Consider the following 16,961-nt stretch of genomic DNA (forward strand, 5'->3'; position numbering starts at 1 on the left):
TACAAAAAATACAAAAATTAGCCAGTCTCAGATCATAACCTGGTATCAAAAAACCTTGTCTCTGGCAGAAGGCCTGGTGACCGACAGAAGAACGTTGAATGCTCTGTTACTTTTCTATAGAATCTTTTTTTATAGAAACCTATCTGAAAAAGTTTATTCTGAAAAAAATAATATTCTGAATTGTTTTATAATTTTTTTTTAAATTAAGGAAAAGTGTGGCCTACTTAGGTATTTTCACCTGACATACATTTGTAGGTCATTTGGGGATGCTGGTTGAGTGGATAAACTGAAACAGTTTTCCCCTCTCATAGGTGGGTGAGCAAGCACATTAAAAAGCCGATTCGCTCCACAGTCCTCAGCTTGGATTGGCATCCCAACAACGTTTTGCTGGCAGCAGGATCATGTGACTTCAAATGCAGGTGGGAACCAGTGAGAACTGATAAACTTGAGCCGTGCATTCTTCATCCTTCAACAAATAATTTTAGGTTCTCTTTCTTTGTTTTTTGTTTTGTTGTGGTTGTTGTTGTTTTGAGACAGGGTCTCACTCTCACCCAGGCTGGAGTGCAGTGGCACCATCATAGCTCACTGCAGCCTCCAATTCCTGGGCTCAAGCGATCCTCCAGCCTCAGCCTCCAGAGTAGTTGGGACTACAGGTATATGCCACCACACCTGGCTAATTTTTTTAAAATTGTCTTTATTCTTTGTAGAGACGGGGTCTTGCTACATTGCCCAGGTTGGTCTTGAACTCCTGGCCTCAAGTGATCCTCCCTCCTTGGCCTCCTGAAGTGCTGGGATTACAGGCATGAGCCAGTGTGCCTGGCCTGTAAGTTTCCTTTTCTTTGCAAGGTACTGCGCTAGGCACTGTGAGGGACTCAAAAATGAGGCCTGGTGCTGTGGCTCACACCTGTAATCCCAGCACTTTGGGAGGCTGAGGTGGGCGGATCACCTGAGGTTGGAAGTTCAAGACCAACTTGGCCAACATGGTGAAACCCCGTGTCTACTAAAAATACAAAAGAGGCCGGGCGCAGTAGCTCACGCCCGTAATCCCAGCACTTTGGGAGGCTGAGGTGGGCGGATCACAAGGTCAGGAGATCGAGACCATCCTGGCTAACACAGTGAAACCCCGTCTCTACTAAAAAAATACAAAAAATTAGCCGGGCGTGGTGGCGGGTGCCTGTAGTCCCAGCTACTCGGGAGGCTGAGGCAGGAGAATGGTGTGAACTCGGGAGGCGGAGCTTGCAGTGAGCCGAGATCACACCACTGCACTCCAGCCTGGGCGACAGAGCGAGACTCTGTCTCAAAATAAATAAATAAATAAAAGTTAGCCTGGTGTGGTCACAAATGCCTGTAATCCCAGCTACTTGGGAGGCTAGGGCATGAGAATCATTTGAACCGGGGAGGTGGAGGTTGCAGTGAGCTGAAATCACACCACTGCACTCCAGCCTGGGCGACAGAGTAAGACTCCATCTCAAAAAACAAACAAAAACAAAACAAAAAAATGGAAGCAGTTTGTGATCCAGAAAAGGAGCTCAAGCATGGTGATTAAAAGAACAAGTTCATAAGTCACTGAGGTAAAAAGAAATCCACTTGGAAGTGGGGTAGGAGGGAGAGGCAAGGGTGGGGCCAGCGAAGATTTCCTTAAGTGTAAGAATATCTATGGTTTAGAGGGGAGGATTAGCATGTACTCTCTCTGTCTCTGTCTCTGTCTCTTTCTTACCATCTCTTTCTGTGTCTCCCTTTCTCCCTGTCTTTCTTGACAACAGTATTTTTCTCATTTCATATTCCAGGCAGCAGTCTCTGCAAATTCCAAAGTGAAACAATTAATAAAACATAGCTAAACAGTGCGCTGCTAAGCTGTTATTGTGCTGTTCTTTCAGTTAAAGCTTTTTATTTTGTCATTAGCTTGAAGCTAGAAGAAATGCAGCCACTTTGCTAAGAACTTTAAGGATCATACCATGGAATTCCATGTAATTGCTTTTTAAAGTTGTTCTTTCTCAAGAATATGCTTTTTTCCCTTTAGCTGAAAGGAAAGCAAAGCAAATAAATGTTGCTTTGTGTTGACTATATGGTAGGTTGGGAGATGAGGTGCACTTTTTTTTTTTTTTTTTTTTTTTTTTTTTTTTGAGACAAGGTCTTGCTCTGTCACCCAGGCTGGAGTGTGGTGGTGCGATCATAGCTCCCTGCAGCTTCGACCTCCCGGACTCAAGCAATCCTCCCACCTCAGTCTCCTGAGTAGCTGGGACCACAGGCATGAGCCACCATGCCTGGCTGATTTTGTTTATTTTTTGTAGAGATGGGGTCTCACTATGTTGCCCAGGCTGGTCTCAAACTCCTGGGCTCAAAGAATCCTTCTGCCTTGGCCTCCCAAAGTGCTGGGCTTACAGGGATGAGCCACTACACTCAGCTGGGATACACTTTCTTCAGTAACTGTGGAGAATTCCCAGAAAACCAGGCTAGTGGTTTATATCCAGGAATACTCAAAGCTTAAAAAAAAAAGAGAGAGAGATGTGTTTGAGTTTGGCGGAGAGGATGGAGGTCATGGGAGTGTCAAGGCACTTTATATTCTGGACCTGTGTTACTTGTGATTTCTTAACCAGAGTCATTGGAAAATAGAACTAGGTGGCACTAACCCACACCACCTGGATTCTTTGATGGTTGTGAAAATAGGTTGCAGTTATTTTGTTAATATTAATTTCCCCTAGTTTCTCTGTCACAAAAGCTGGAGTGCAGTGGTGTGATCCTGGCTCACTGCAACCTCTGCCTCCCAGGTTCAAGTGATTCTCATGCCTCAGCCTCCCAAGCAGCTGGGATTGCAGGCGTACACCACCATGCCTGGCTAATTTTTTTTTTTGTATTTTAGTAGAGACAGGGTTTCACCATATTGGCCAGGCTGGTCTCAAACTCCTGGCCTCGAGCTATCCACCTGCCTCGGCCTCCCAAAGTGCTGGGGTTACAGGCATGAGCCACTGCGCCTGGCCCAGTCCTGTGGGTATGGGTCTGTCCCATTTGTGTTCCTGAGTTGGTGGCTGAGAGCCACTGGTTCTTTCTTGGCCTTCTAAGACTAAAGCAGCCGCTGTCATGATGCAGATTTAAAGCACAGTGTTTCTACTGTCTCGTCATATAACCTCACATAACTCACAGTCCTCTGCCAGGCATCTTCCAGAGCCTCTGTACTGCCATTGTCATTTGGGGTGGTAGGGGGGATACCTCGGTTCTTTTAGGGAGCCTTTAGGTTCAGCAGTTTTTTGGAGAGAAGAAGGTGTACAAAGTAGAAATCACATTGGAGGGCGAAAGGGCCCTAAAGGGTAGATTTCCAGCCGTTCCCCTTTGCCCTTAACTCTGGGCCAGAACATCCTCAAACACAGCTGTGTGGAATTAGATAAAAGAGTGAGTTAGTGGAAACGGGCGACACCACCTATAAAGGACCTGCCTCCATCTTAAGCTATTCCTGCCACAGAGACTGGACAGTGGGCCTGAGGGTCCAGGGAGCCTGCCCACCCCTTGTCACCAGCCTCCCTTGGCTTTCTCTTGGGGTATGTCTTTAAAAGGGTCAACACCATTAGTTTGTTGCAGGGTGGCAAATAGTTTCTGCTCTCCCACCATTGACTGCGCAGGCTTCCTGGAGTACTGTGTTGAGAATGATGGTAAGGTAGACAGGAAAGAATGCTGTGGCCATTTAGCAAGGTCTCATGTGGGCAAGGGAGGGATGGGACAGCAAGATCTCCCCAGAATGTGCAGTCCATGAGGACAGGTCTTTTGTGATCACTACTTCAGAACCTGGCACCCACAGCCTGACACACAGTAGGTGCTTTGATAGTATCTAGAGTATGGATTAGCTAGGCGCAGTGGCACACATCTGTAATCCCAGCACTTTGGGAGGCTGAGGCAGGAGTATTACCTGATCCCAGGAGTTCGAGACCAGCCTGGGCAACACAGCAAGACCCCATCTCTACAAAAAATTTTAAAATATTAGCTGGGCATAATACGAACTTGTAGTCCCAGCTACTCGAGAGGCTGAGGCAGGAGGATCACTTGAGCCCAGAAGTTGGCTGCAGTGAGCTTTGATCACACCACTACACTCCATCCCGGGCAACAGAGCCAGACCCCCGTCTCTTAAAAAAAAAAAAAAAGTTGGAGCGGGGGATCAGGTGTGGTGGCTCATGCCTGTAATCCCAGCACTTTGGGAGGCCAAGGCAGGTGGATCACCTGAGGTCAGGAGTTCAAGACCAGCCTGGTCAACATGGTGAAACCCCATCTCTACTAAAAATACAAAATTAGCCAGGCATGGTGGCACATGCCTGTAATCCCAGCTACTTGGGAGGCTGAGGCAGGAGAATCTCTTGAACCCAGGAGGCGGAGGTTGTGGTGAGCCAGGATCATGCCATTGCACTCCAGCCTGGGCAACAAGAGCAAGACTCTGTCCCCCAAAAATATATATATATATACTAGAATATGGATTTGCCAAACTTGGGTTGGCCTGTAGATAGCTCTAACAATAATTCTGTTACTTGAGAGGTTTGAATATCTGGACTTACCTATCATGATTTATTATTTTAGTTTAGTTTAGTTTAGTTTATGTTATGTTATGTTATGTTATGTTATGTTATGTTATGTTATGTTATGTTATGTTATTTTAGAGACGGTGTCTCGCTCTGTTGCCCAGCCTGGAGTGCAGTGGCGCAATCTCAGCTCACTGCAAGCTGTGCCTCCTGGGTTCACGCCATTCTCTTGCCTCAGCCTCCGGAGTAGCTGGGACTACAGGCGCCTGCCACCACACCCGGCTAATTTTCTGTATTTTTCGTAGAGATGGGGTTTCACCGTATTAGCCAGGATGGTCTCGATCTCCTGACCTCATGATCCTCCCGCCTTGGCCTCCCAAAGTGCTGGGATTACAGGCATGAGCCACCGCACCCAGCCTTATTTATTTATTTATTTATTTATTTATTTATTTATTGAGAAGGAGTTTCTCTCTTGTTGCCCAGGCTGGAGTGCAGTGGCGTGATCTCGGCTCACTGCAACCTCTACCTCCTGGGTTTACGCGATTCTCCTGACTCAGCCTCCTGAGTAGTTGGGATTACAGGCATGCGCCCCCACGCTTGGCTAATTTTGTGTATTTTTAGTAGAGACGGGGTTTCTCCATGTTGGTCAGGCTGGTCTCGAACTCCCGACCTCAGGTGATCCACCCACCTAGGCCTCCCAAAGTGCTAGGATTACAGGCTTGAGCCACCGTGCCCAGCTCATGTTTTATTTTTTTTTAATGAGTCAACCTCTTTGCATTCTGAGATTCCTTGTGGCAGCTGCCTATGGCCTGTTTCTATATACATATATTTTCATTTGCTTTTTCCTTTTCTCTCTGCCCTTTAAACAGAGTGTTTTCTGCCTACATTAAAGAAGTGGATGAAAAGCCAGCCAGCACGCCCTGGGGCAGCAAGATGCCTTTTGGGCAGCTGATGTCAGAGTTTGGTGGCAGTGGCACTGGTGGCTGGGTCCACGGGGTAAGCTTCTCTGCCAGTGGGAGCCGCCTGGCCTGGGTCAGCCACGACAGCACCGTGTCTGTTGCTGATGCCTCAAAAAGTGTGCAGTGAGTATTTGCCTTTCATTTGGAAGGTGGGGAACAAGGGGTGGGATCTCTCACCAGCTGAACCAGGACTGCCCTTCCTGGGGTGTTAGCACAGGGCACAAACATAAAAACCTTAATCAGGCCAGGCGTGGTGGCTCACGCCTGTAATCCCAGCACTTTGGGAGGCCGAGGTGGGTGGATCACAAGGTCAGCAGTTCAAGACCAGCCTGGCCAAGATGGTGAAACCCTGTCTCTACTAAAAATAAAAAAAATTATCCAGGTGTGGTGGTAGGCGCCTGTACTCCCAGCTACTCGGAAGGCTGAGGCAGAGAATTGCTTGAACCTGGGAGGCAGAGGTTGTAGTGAGCCAAGATCATGCCACTGTACTCCAGCCTGGGCGACAGAGTAAGACTCCGTCTCAAAAAAAAAAAAAAAAAAAAAACACCTCAATGAAAACTGCAGGCAGGCAGGCCTCAGTGGCTCACGCCTATAATCCTAGCACTTTGAGAGGCTGTGGGCAGATCACCTGAGGTCAAGAGTTCAAGACCAGCCTGGCCAACATGGTGAAACCCCGTCTCTACTAAAAACACAAAAATTAGCCCTGCTGGGCACAGTGGCTCACACCTGTAATCCCAGTACTTTGGTAGGCCATGGGTGGATCACCTGAGGTCAGGAGTTCAAGGCCAGCCTGGCCAACATGGTGAAACCCTGTCTCTAATAAAAATACAAAAATTAGCCGCAGTGGCTCACACCTGTAATCCCAGCACTTTGGGAGGCTGAGGCGGGCGGATCACTTGAGGTCGGGAGTTTGAGACCAGCCTGACTAACATGGAGAAACCCCATCTCTACTAAAAATACAGAAAATTAGCTGGACGTGGTGGCACATGCCTGTAATCCCAGCTACTCAGGAGGCTGAGTCAGGAGAATTGCTTGAACCTGGGAGGCGGAGGTTGCAGTGAGCCAAGATTGCACCACTGTACTCCAGCCTGGGCAACAAATGCAGAACTCCGTCTCAAAAAAAAAAAAAAAAAATCAGCCCGGCATAGTGGCATATGCCTGTAATCCCAGCTACTCGGGAGGCTGAGGCTAGAGAATCTCTGGAACCCAAGAAACAGAGGTTGCGGTGAGCCGAGATTGTGCCATTGCACTCCAGCCTGGGCAACAAGAGCAAAACTATGTCTCAAAAAAAAAACTGCAAGTCAGCTTTTACCGTGACAGGCACAGACACAAATTCTCCGGTTGGAAAATTTTAAAGACCTAGGTCTTCCAGAAATACTTCTTAATGGAAGTACTGATAATGATTCCTTTCAAGAACCCTCCTGGTTGGCTACTGATAAGGGTCACTTAAAAAGGGCCAGTTTAAGCTGGGCACAGTGGCTCACACCTATAATCCCAGCACTTTGGGAGGCCAAGGTGGGTGGATCACTTGAGGTCAGGAGTTCGAGAGCAGCCTGGCCAACATGGTGAAACCCTGTCTCTACAAAAATACAAAAATTAGCCCAGCATGGTGGCGGGTGCCTATAGTCCCAGCTACTCGGGAGGCTGAGGAAGGAGAATCACTTGAACCCAGGAGGTGAAGGTTGCAGTGAACCGAGATCATGCCATTGCACTCCAGCCTGGGCAACAGAGCAAGACTCCATCTCAAAAAAAAAAAGGCTAGTTTAGTCTGTTACTCTGAATTCCTTACAAAATGTAAGTGCCGTTCACCGGCCTTAAATTAAATAGGAGATATATTCTTACTGGGGGAAGTCAGCGAACGATGACTTCATTAATTTGAGCCTTCCATTCAGTAAGGCTTAAAAAGCATTGATGCCACTTCTCTGCTGTGGCTGGAAGGACTCGAATTACGGTGGCTTCTTTGTGAGTGGCGTGTCTGTTCAGCCATAAAGTACTTGGCCAGACATCAGAGTTCATTTTGTTCAGTATATGTTGGAGGAAGAGAGAAGATTGGAATCCTTCTTCTTTTATAAATCTTTGTTCTTCCCTGGTGTTCCTTTTCCATTGATAGCTAAAGGGAACTCACCATTAAAGGTTTTGTGATGGACATGGCCACTTGGGTATCAAAAATCAATCACACTGGGTGACCTTTACTCCCTGTCAGGTCAGTAAGAGTCACCCAGTGTAAACAGCATGATATTTCAGACATGATATGTTTTTCCTAACAGGATTAAATGTGCATTTTTTAGCTAGTTTTACATATTTTTTTAAAGATTATCCCCTCAGGCCGGGTGCAGTGGCTCACGCCTGTAATCCCAGCACTTTGGGAGGCCGAGGCGGGTGGATCACCTCAGGTAAGGAGTTCGAGACCAGCATGGCCAACATGGAGAAACCCCGCCTCTACTAAAAGTATAAAAATTAGCCAGGTGTGGTGGCATGCACCTGTAATCCCAGCTACTCAGGAGGCTGAGGCAGGAGAATTGCTTGAACCCAGCAGGCAGAGGTTGCAATGAGCCAAGATCGCACCACTGCACTCCAGCCTGGGCAACAAGAGGAAGACTCTGTCTCAAAAAAAAAAAAAAGACTGGGCACAGTGGCTCACACCTGTAATCCCAGCACTTTGGGAGGCCGAGGCGGGCGGATCACAAGGTCAGGAGATCGAGACCATCCTGGCTAACACGGTGAAACCCTGTCTCTACAAAAAATACAAAAATTAGCCAGGCGTGGTGGCGGGCGCTTGTAGTCCCAGCTACTCGGGAGGCTGAGGCAGGAGAATGGCGTGAACCTGGGAGGCAAAGCTTGCAGTGAGCCGAGATTGCGCCACTGCACTCTAGGCTGGGCGACAGAGCGAGACTCCATCTCAAAAAAAAGAAAGAAAAAAAGAAAGATTGTCCCTTCCATTATAAAATGTAGTCTTTCAGAAGATTTCCCTACATAAACAGGCACTTATATATCTTTTCATTTTTAACAGAAATAAGATTATTTTATACATTTTTATATACATTTGGTAATTTGCCTTTTAATACTTGATAATACTTTTGTATTTTGATGCCAGTGTTACTTGATTTTTATATGGTTTATTGTGACACAGTAAGTTCTTAGCATACACTTATTACAAGTCCCTGTCTACCCTCGTACTGACTTCTTTCCCTTTTCCAGTCCTGCAAGTCAGATTACATGCTCCACCTTTCCACTCCTCCAACATAAATATCTCATGTAGTAAAAGTCAGGTATACCGCACTAAGGGCTTAAGATGACACATTAGTTCTTCAATTCAATGCCAACTTTATGAAGGGTGTCCTGAGACATATACAGTTAGCTTTTTTTTATTTTTTAATTTAGAGAGACACTCTCTGTCGCCCAGGCTGGAACTCCTGAGCTCAAGTTCTCCTCCCACCTCAGCCTCTCAAGCAGCTGGAGCCACAGACGTGCACCACCACTCTAGGCTAATTTTTTTTTTTTTTTAATTTTTCGTAGAGACTGGGTCTCACTATGTTGTCCAGGCTGATCTCAAACTCCTGCCTCCAGCAATCCTTCCACCTCAGCCCCTCAAAGTGCTGAGATTACAGGTGTGAGCCACCATGCCCAGCCACAGTCAGCTTTTGAATGCATCGTTTCTTGCATGAAGTGAGGTGCTCCTAACTCATCAGCCAGTGTGTCTGCCTGCCATATCTGTGTAATCTCTTTGCCACATTCAAGAGCAAATAACTACATGCACACACATGTCCCTGCAGGCACACATACACACACATGGCCCATTCGAGTGTGAGCTCCTGGCTAAGACCGTTTGGTTCATCTTGGTAGCTCTAGCTCCTAACACAGTGCCTGGCCGTCAGCACAGATCTGTGTGGTCACAGCCCTCTCGGAGCTCCGGTGAGCACAGGCAAGGAGAAGGTCCTAGCACAGGTGTCTGCTGCCAAGTCATAGTAACAGGAAGAGCTCTAGGAGCTAAGAGCAGGGAGAAGCCACTTTAGGCGGAAGTGGCCCGGGAAAGTGGACCGTGGGATCATGGGGGTGATCCCTTTAGAGCTGTGCTGGGGGTGGAAGGGCGTGATGCAAAGACTGGGCTTTGGGAACCAGTTTGTCGTCAGTGGGCAGGGCCTCAGAAGGAGGCAGAGCCGGAACCCAGGGCTGCCCCTGTCTTGAGAGGCCTGCAAGTTGAGGTCAGGGGCTCCTTTTCAACATAAGTGCCCATTGATACTGCAGAAGCCCCTGTGAGAATGGGTCCTTTGTGATCATCTGTGTCTGTAAAGAAGCTAATAGTCTGTTGCATCTTGGGATAACACATGTTCTTGTGTTCAGGGTCTCGACTCTGAAGACAGAGTTCCTGCCGCTCCTAAGTGTGTCATTTGTCTCAGAGAACAGCGTCGTGGCTGCTGTGAGTATTTTTCTTCATTCTCCCTCGGGGTGCACTGTATGTGATGCTCAGACAGGGAACAATGTGTGCTCTGTCACCCTAGCACAAAGCAGAACAGTTTTTTAGAAGAAACAGAGCTCACTTTTTTTTTTTTTTTTTTTTTTGAGATGGAGTTTTGCTCTTGTTGCCCAGGCTGGAGTGCAATGGGTGATCTTGACTCACCGCAACCTCTGCCTCCCGGGTTCAAGCGATTCTCCCGCCTCAGCCTCTCGAGGAACTGGGAATATAGGCATGCGCCACCATACCTGGCTAATTTTGTATTTTTAGAAGAGACGGGGTTTCTCCATGTTGGTCAGGCCGGTCTCGAACTCCCATCCTCAGGTGATCCACCCACCTTGGCCTCCCAAAGTGCGGGCATGAGCCACCGTGCCCGGCCTCAGAGGTCACTTTTTTTTTGGAGACTGTCTTGCTCTGTCGCCCAGGCTGGAGGGCAGTGGCGCAATTTTGGCTCACTGCAAGCTCCGCCTCCCGGGTTCACGCCATTCTCCTGCCTCAGCGTCCTGAGTAGCTGGGACTACAGGCGCCCGCCACCTCGCCGGGCTAATTTTTTTTATTTTTAGTAGAGATGGGGTTTCACCATGTTAGCCAGGATGGTCTCAATCTCCTGACCTCGTGATCCGCCCACCTTGGCCTCCTAAAGTGCTGGGATTACAGGTGTGAGCCACCGTGCCCGGCCGCTCACTTTTAAGAGTAAGAGGGGGTGGGGCACGATGGCTCACGCCTGTAGTCCCAGCACTTTGGGAGGCCAAGGCGGGTGGTTCACTTGAGGTCAGGAGTTCAAGACCAGCCTGGCCAACATGGTGAAACCCCGTCTCTACTAAAAACACAAAAATTAGCCAGGCATGGTGGCAGACGCCTGTAATCCCAGCTACTTGGGAGGCTGAGGCAGGAGAATTACTTGAACCCGGGAAGCAGAGGTTGTGGTGACCTGAGATTGTGCCACTGCACTCTAGCCAGGGCAACAGAGCAAGACTCGGTCTCAAAAAAAAAAAAAAAAAAGAGTAAGAGAGGCCTGTCGTGGTGAACACTCTGCCAAGGAGGTGGGCGGTGGGCAGTGCATCCTCCAGGGACTGACTGAGTCTTGTTTCAGGGCCATGACTGCTGCCCAATGCTCTTTAACTACGATGACCGCGGCTGCCTGACCTTCGTCTCCAAGTTAGATATTCCAAAACAGAGCATCCAACGCAACATGTCTGCCATGGAACGCTTCCGCAACATGGACAAGAGAGCCACAACTGAGGACCGCAACACGGCCTTGGAGACGCTGCACCAGAATAGCATCACGTAGGTGCCGTCTGTAGAGAGGTGGTCAGGTGACAAGGTGCCTTCCTGCCCCTCGCTGTTTCCTTACTGGGTTCCTACAAAAGCTCTATGCCCCTCAGGCCCAGACATTCTTTCAGGGACAAGTGCAGCAAGAAGTCTGTATCTTCCCGACCGCCAGGCTCTCATTTCCAGCTCGTGGTAGGGAGGGAGTCGCCACCACCTGGTCATTCTGTCCTTCAAGGTGCAGATTACAAGGCAGCAGCCAGCAGGAGCAGTGCAGACCTTGTTGCAATCTGAGGTGGTGGGGCCTCAGGGCAGCTGCTTCCTAGGGTACCCTTTCTCAGCTACTCGAGAACAAAAGGAGACATTCCTGAATGCTGCGTTCCCACAGTAGTGCACACATAACAGAAAGCGAAGTTACAGCCTGTTGGAAAAGGTAACTGTAGCTGTCGTTTCAAGTAATGGATACAAATAAGAAGATTATTTAATTAAAGGAACAGAATTTCTTATCATCATGATGACAAAGCTGAGGAGTGTCTCGACTGGGTTTTCATCAGGTATATGTAATTATGTAAGACAACAGAATTGTGTTTTGTCCAGAAAGTTTAATTTTTTTTTTTTTTTTTGAGACAGAGTCTCACTCTGTTGCCCAGGCTGGAGTGCAATGCCACAATCTCGGCTCACTGCAACCTCTGCCTCCCGGGTTCAAGCAATTCTCCTGCCTCAGCTTCCCAAGAAGCTGGGATTACAGGCGTGTGCCACCACACCTGGCTAATTTTTTGTATTTTTAGTAGAGACGGAGTTTCACCCTGTTGGCCATCCTGGTTTCAAACTCCTGACCTCAGGTGATCCAACCACCTCAGCCTCCCAAATTGCTGGAATTACAGGCGTAAGCTACCGTGCCTGGCCTGAAAGTTTGATTTTTAAGGTCTAGAGGAGAGGCTGGGCATGATGGCTTACACCTTTAATCCCAGCACTTTGGGAGGCTGAGGCAGGCAGATCACTTGAGGTCAGGAGTTCGAGACCAGCCTTGCCAACATGGCAAAACCCCATCTCTACTAAAAAATACAAAAATTAGCTTGGCATGGTGGTACACACCTGTAATCCCAGCTACTCGGCAGGCTGAGGCAGGAGAATTGCTTGAACCGGGCAGGTGGAGGTTGCAGTGAGCCAAGATTGAGCTACTGCACTCCCGCCTGGGTGACAGAGTGAGACTCCGTCTCAAAAAAAAAAAAAAAAAAAGGCACCTGGAGGAGAAATATATGCTTGATATTCTAAATTACTGTGTTCAGAGTTGGGTCCCATGGGATTTTCCCTTACTGAGAAGCCTTTTATGTTTAGAATCTTATTGTGGTATTGATGGTGGGAGAAGTAATGGAAACCTCTAGACTTCCTGTTTGAGAGAATTACAATGAAATGCAGGTTGTGCTTCATCTTCAGCGGAGAAGGGGCAGCTGTATATAAAATAGGCTGCAAATGCTGTATTGAAAAATGAGAACCAGAGACCTGGCACCATGTCTCACACCTGTAATGCTAGCGTTTTGGGAAGCCAAGGCAGGAGGATCACTTGAGGCCAGCAGTTCAATACCATCCTGGGCAACACAGCAAGACCCCATCTCTACAAAAAAATTTTTAAGTTAGCTGGCTGTGTTGGCACGCACCTGTAGTCCCAGCTACTTGGGAGGAGTGAGCTGTGATTGTGCCACTGTACTTCAGCCTGGGCTACATTGTGAGATCCTATCTCAAAAAAAAAAAAAAAAAAGAACCTGAAGGCATAGCAAAACTTACCTTTTCTCCACATTCTTCAGGTTTCTCCTTCTATAGCAAAACTCACCTTTTCTCCATTCTTTAGGTTTCTCTGTCTTGAATGGCTCCGAGTTACTTCTTGTGAGTTTCTCTTACGTTTCTATACAGACCAAGTGTTAAGGAAAGAAAAAGCTCTCATTGCCTCTCTGACACTTCTAGATGAAAAATGAAAAGAACAAACCCTTGCTGATTAGTCTACTTTTATTTGCAGAAATTAGGTGCTCTTTGCACTAGAACTGTGTCAGCTAACTTTTTCTGTAAAGGACCAGATAGTAAATATTTTAGACTCCTAGAGGCCATAGGTCTCTGTTGCAACTACTGAACTCTGGTTGTGGCAGGAAAGCAGGCACAGATGATGTAAACAGATGAGGTGGCTGTGTTCCCGTCAAACTTTATGGACACTCAAATTTGAATTTCATGTAATTTTCACTTCATGAAATAATAGTCTCCTTTTAATTTTTTTCCAGCTATTTAAAAACGTAAAAGCCGGGTCAGGTGCAGAGGCTCACGCCTGTAATCCCAGCACTTTGGGAGGCTGGGGTGGGCGGATCACTTGAGGTCAGGTGGTCAAGACCAGCCTGACCAACATGGCAAAACCCCGTCTCTATTAAAAATACAAAAATTCGCCAGCCTGGTGGCAGGTGCTTGTAATCCCAGCTACTCGGGAGTCTGAGGCAGGAGAATCGCTTGAACCTGGGAGGTAGAGGTTGCAGTGAGCCGAGATCGCACCACTGCACTCCAGCCTGAGTGACAGAGTGAGACTCCATCTCAATAAATAAATAAATAAAATAAAAATGTAAAACCCCGCCCCCCTTTTTTTTTTTTTTTTTGAGATGGAGTCTCTGTCACCCAGGCTGGAGTGCAGTGGCACGATCTTGGCTTACTGCAAGCTCTGCCTCCTGGGTTCACGCCCTTCTCCTGCCTCAGCCTCCCAAGTAGCTGGGACTACAGGCGCCCGCCACCATGCCTGGCTAATTTTTTTTTTTTTTTTGTATCTTTTAGTAGAGACAGAGTTTCACTGTGTTAGTCAGGATGGTCTCGATCTCCTGACCTCGTGATCTGCCCACCTCGGCCTCCCAGAGTGCTGGGATTACAGGCGTGAGCCACTGCACCTGGCCTTTGTTGTTTTTTTTTTTTATTTAAGCTCACAGGCTGTACGGGCATAGGCAGTGTGTGCCATAGTTTGCCATCCCCTTCCCAGCGTCGGGGAAGAGGCGGGTAAGTTCTAGACATCTCAAAGGAGAAAGAAAAATATTGTCTGAGCAATGGATGATTGTCTTGAAAGCTTCCAGATAATTAGGCTAAGACAAGTTGTTTCATTTATCTGTTCCCCTGCTTAGCTTGGTCGGAATCTAGTGGTGTGTCTGCTGCTAACATTTATGATGATTCACTTCAGACTCAAGGAGGGCTGTTGGCTTATCTGCACTGGCTGTCTTGGAGGCTGATTTGAGAGGTTTTGTTTGGAGCTATGGAATTCAGTCATGCTTCATCATGCCTCTGGTTTATTTAAAAACAAACAAAAATACTGTTTTCGCCATGGCTGTGGTCCTACCCACAACCTGCTCCCAGCATTTGAGTGCTGTGTGGGCTGGGTCATTCCTGCTTCCCCAGGTCACGCTAACCAAGGCAAGTTCTTAACTTCTCCCCTTGCCAGTTTTGTCTTTCCTGGACATCTGGTAATAATATGCTTTGGGGTATTTTCTGAGCCAGATTGTTGCAGCCTAATGTTCATGGATAAGTTCATAATCAGGAGTTAAAAGATAATTCATTTCCTGGTGGAGCGTGGTGGCTTATGCCTGTAATCCCAGCATTTTGGGAGACTGAGGCAGGAGGATCACTTGAGCCCAGGAGTTCAAGACCAGCTTGGGCAACATAATGAGACCCGCATCCCAGCTCTATTTAAAAAATAAAGAAGAAGATAATTCATTTCCTTAAGCTGCCCTTACACTATTAGTCAGGAATGTTTGTGTTCACTTCCACTACATACCTTACGATCTCTTTTGCTTTGCTTTTTTTCAGTCAAGTCTCTATTTATGAGGTGGACAAGCAAGATTGTCGCAAATTTTGCACTACTGGCATCGATGGAGCCATGACAATTTGGGATTTCAAGGTATTTTCTACCTAACAGAACAAATTTTGTTTGTGTTAAAACTTTTTTTTTTTTTTTTAAGAGATAGGCTCCTTCTCTGTCACCCAGGTTGGAGTAAGTGGCACAATCATGGCTCACTGCAGCCACCAACTCCTTGCCTCCAGCAGCCCTCCCACCTCAGCCTCCCAAGCTGCTGGGACAGCAGGCATGCACCACCATGCTCCGTGAATATTTTTACAAAACTCTTATGAGAAGAATGTTTCTCATTTCTTGAAACAAAATGTTAAATCTAGTATACAGTTTAATGTCCTAATGTAAGACATTAAACTGGAAATCTCTCATTTTTTTTTCTTTCTTTTTGAGATGGAGTCTTGTTCTGTCACCCAGGCTGCAGTGCAGCGGTGCAATATTGGCTCACTGCAACCTCCGCCTCCCGGGTTGGAGCGATTCTCCTGCCTCAGTCTCCCAAGTAGTTGGGATTACAGGAGCACACTACAACACCCGGCTATGTTTTGTATTTTTAGTACAGACGGGGTTTCACCATGTTGGCCAAGCTGGTCTTGAACTCCTGGCCTCATGTGATCTGCCCACCTTGGCCTCCCAAAGTGGTGGGATTACAGGCGTGAGCCACCATGCCAGCCTTGGAGATCTCTCTCTTTTTTTTTTTTTTTTTTTTTGAGACAGAGTTTCGCTCTTGTTGCCCAGGCTGGAGTGCAATGGCAGAATCTCGGCTCACCACAACCTCCGCCTCTGGGGTTCAAGCGATTCTCCTGCCTCAGCCTCCCAAGTAGCTGGGATTACAGACATGTGCCACCACGCCCAGCTAATTTTGTGTTTTTAGTAGAGATGGGGTTTCTCCACGTTGGACATGCTGGTCTCGAACTCCCAACCTCAGGTGATCCACCCGCCTCAGCCTCCCCAAGTGCCAGGATTACAGGCGTGAGCCACTGCGCCCAGCCAGAGATCTCTTTAAAACCTAAAAGTCATCCGCAGAAGAACGGCACATTCTCAGTGAACTGGAATTTTTACTTCTAGATGTCCATTTATTCATTGAGGAAAAATGGAGTGCTGTTTTGGAAACAGGCCCTATTGGACACCAGCCCAGGTTTAACTATATAGATATATATTTATAGCTGACACTAATTAATTTAATAAACATTTAGTACATATCTCCTGGGTGCCATGCATGATGCTGAGCACTGAGAATATCCAATCTGAATGAGCCTGTCTGGTAGAAGAGAGAGGTGGATACGGGGGCTGGGTAGGGGATTCGGCAGAGCTCAGAAGAGAAGCCAGTGCCTCTGTTTTCACACAGAGGAATCTAGGGGGATGCGTGGACTGCAGGGAACAGGTTGCACCTGAGCGGCATCCTGAGTTGCGATGGGTTTTGGAGGGAGGGACTGTGAGTTGAGAAGACACAGGCGAGCATCCTCGGCTGCAAGTGCAGCACACCCAGGGCAGCCCTGGGCTTCAGAGAGCGCACACTGCCTCTGAGGCGCTGCCCGTGCTGTGGTCCTCCGGAAGCACAGATGGAGCTAGAAAAAAGAGCTCTAGGTAGCCAGGCGCAGTGGCTCATGCCTGTCTTCCCAGCACTTTGGGAGGCCGAGGTGGGAGAATCGCTTGAGGCCAGGAGTTTTGAGACCAGTTTGGGCAACATAGCGTGACCCCATCTCTATAAAAAAGCCAGGTGCAGCCAGGCGCACTGACCCACTCCTGTAATCCCAGCACTTTGGGAAGCTGAGGCTCGTTTCTCCTCACTGCTTTCCTGTCTTGAGCACAGGAGTTCGAGACCAGCCTGGGCAACACAGTGAGATCCTGTCTCTATTTAAAAATATACATATATATATTTTTAAAAACCAGGTGCAGTGACGCATGCCTTTAGTTGCAGC

General features: G+C 47.7%; 1 protein-coding gene across 2 annotated transcripts in view, besides 3 other annotated features; it reads left to right on the plus strand.

Moving 5' to 3' along the window:
* The window catches only part of ARPC1A (actin related protein 2/3 complex subunit 1A), a 40,365-nt gene that overhangs the window by 22,643 nt on the left and 761 nt on the right, over positions 1-16,961 (plus strand). For both annotated transcript variants that reach the window (NM_006409.4, NM_001190996.2), the window contains exons 5-9: positions 312-419; positions 5,369-5,581; positions 9,800-9,875; positions 11,005-11,198; positions 15,003-15,093. In NM_006409.4, the coding sequence (NP_006400.2) occupies positions 312-419; positions 5,369-5,581; positions 9,800-9,875; positions 11,005-11,198; positions 15,003-15,093 (682 nt within the window). The remainder of the gene's footprint in view (positions 1-311; positions 420-5,368; positions 5,582-9,799; positions 9,876-11,004; positions 11,199-15,002; positions 15,094-16,961) is intronic.
* Positions 9,442-9,942: an enhancer, noted in NCBI's record as "H3K27ac hESC enhancer chr7:98955605-98956105 (GRCh37/hg19 assembly coordinates)". NCBI's record gives its function as "activates a minimal SCP1, AML or CMV promoter by ChIP-STARR-seq in naive H9 embryonic stem cells {active_cell/tissue: H9 hESC(naive)}" and the evidence as "EXISTENCE:reporter gene assay evidence [ECO:0000049][PMID:30033119]".
* Positions 11,136-11,636: an enhancer, noted in NCBI's record as "H3K4me1 hESC enhancer chr7:98957299-98957799 (GRCh37/hg19 assembly coordinates)". NCBI's record gives its function as "activates a minimal SCP1, AML or CMV promoter by ChIP-STARR-seq in naive H9 embryonic stem cells {active_cell/tissue: H9 hESC(naive)}" and the evidence as "EXISTENCE:reporter gene assay evidence [ECO:0000049][PMID:30033119]".
* Positions 16,361-16,566: a silencer, noted in NCBI's record as "fragment chr7:98962524-98962729 (GRCh37/hg19 assembly coordinates)". NCBI's record gives its function as "represses an EF-1alpha promoter that drives an FKBP-Casp9 reporter gene in an ReSE screen in HepG2 liver carcinoma cells {active_cell/tissue: HepG2}" and the evidence as "EXISTENCE:reporter gene assay evidence [ECO:0000049][PMID:32094911]".

The sequence above is a fragment of the Homo sapiens genome, chromosome 7, assembly GCF_000001405.40.
Source record: "Homo sapiens chromosome 7, GRCh38.p14 Primary Assembly".
Lineage (NCBI taxonomy): Eukaryota > Metazoa > Chordata > Mammalia > Primates > Hominidae > Homo > Homo sapiens.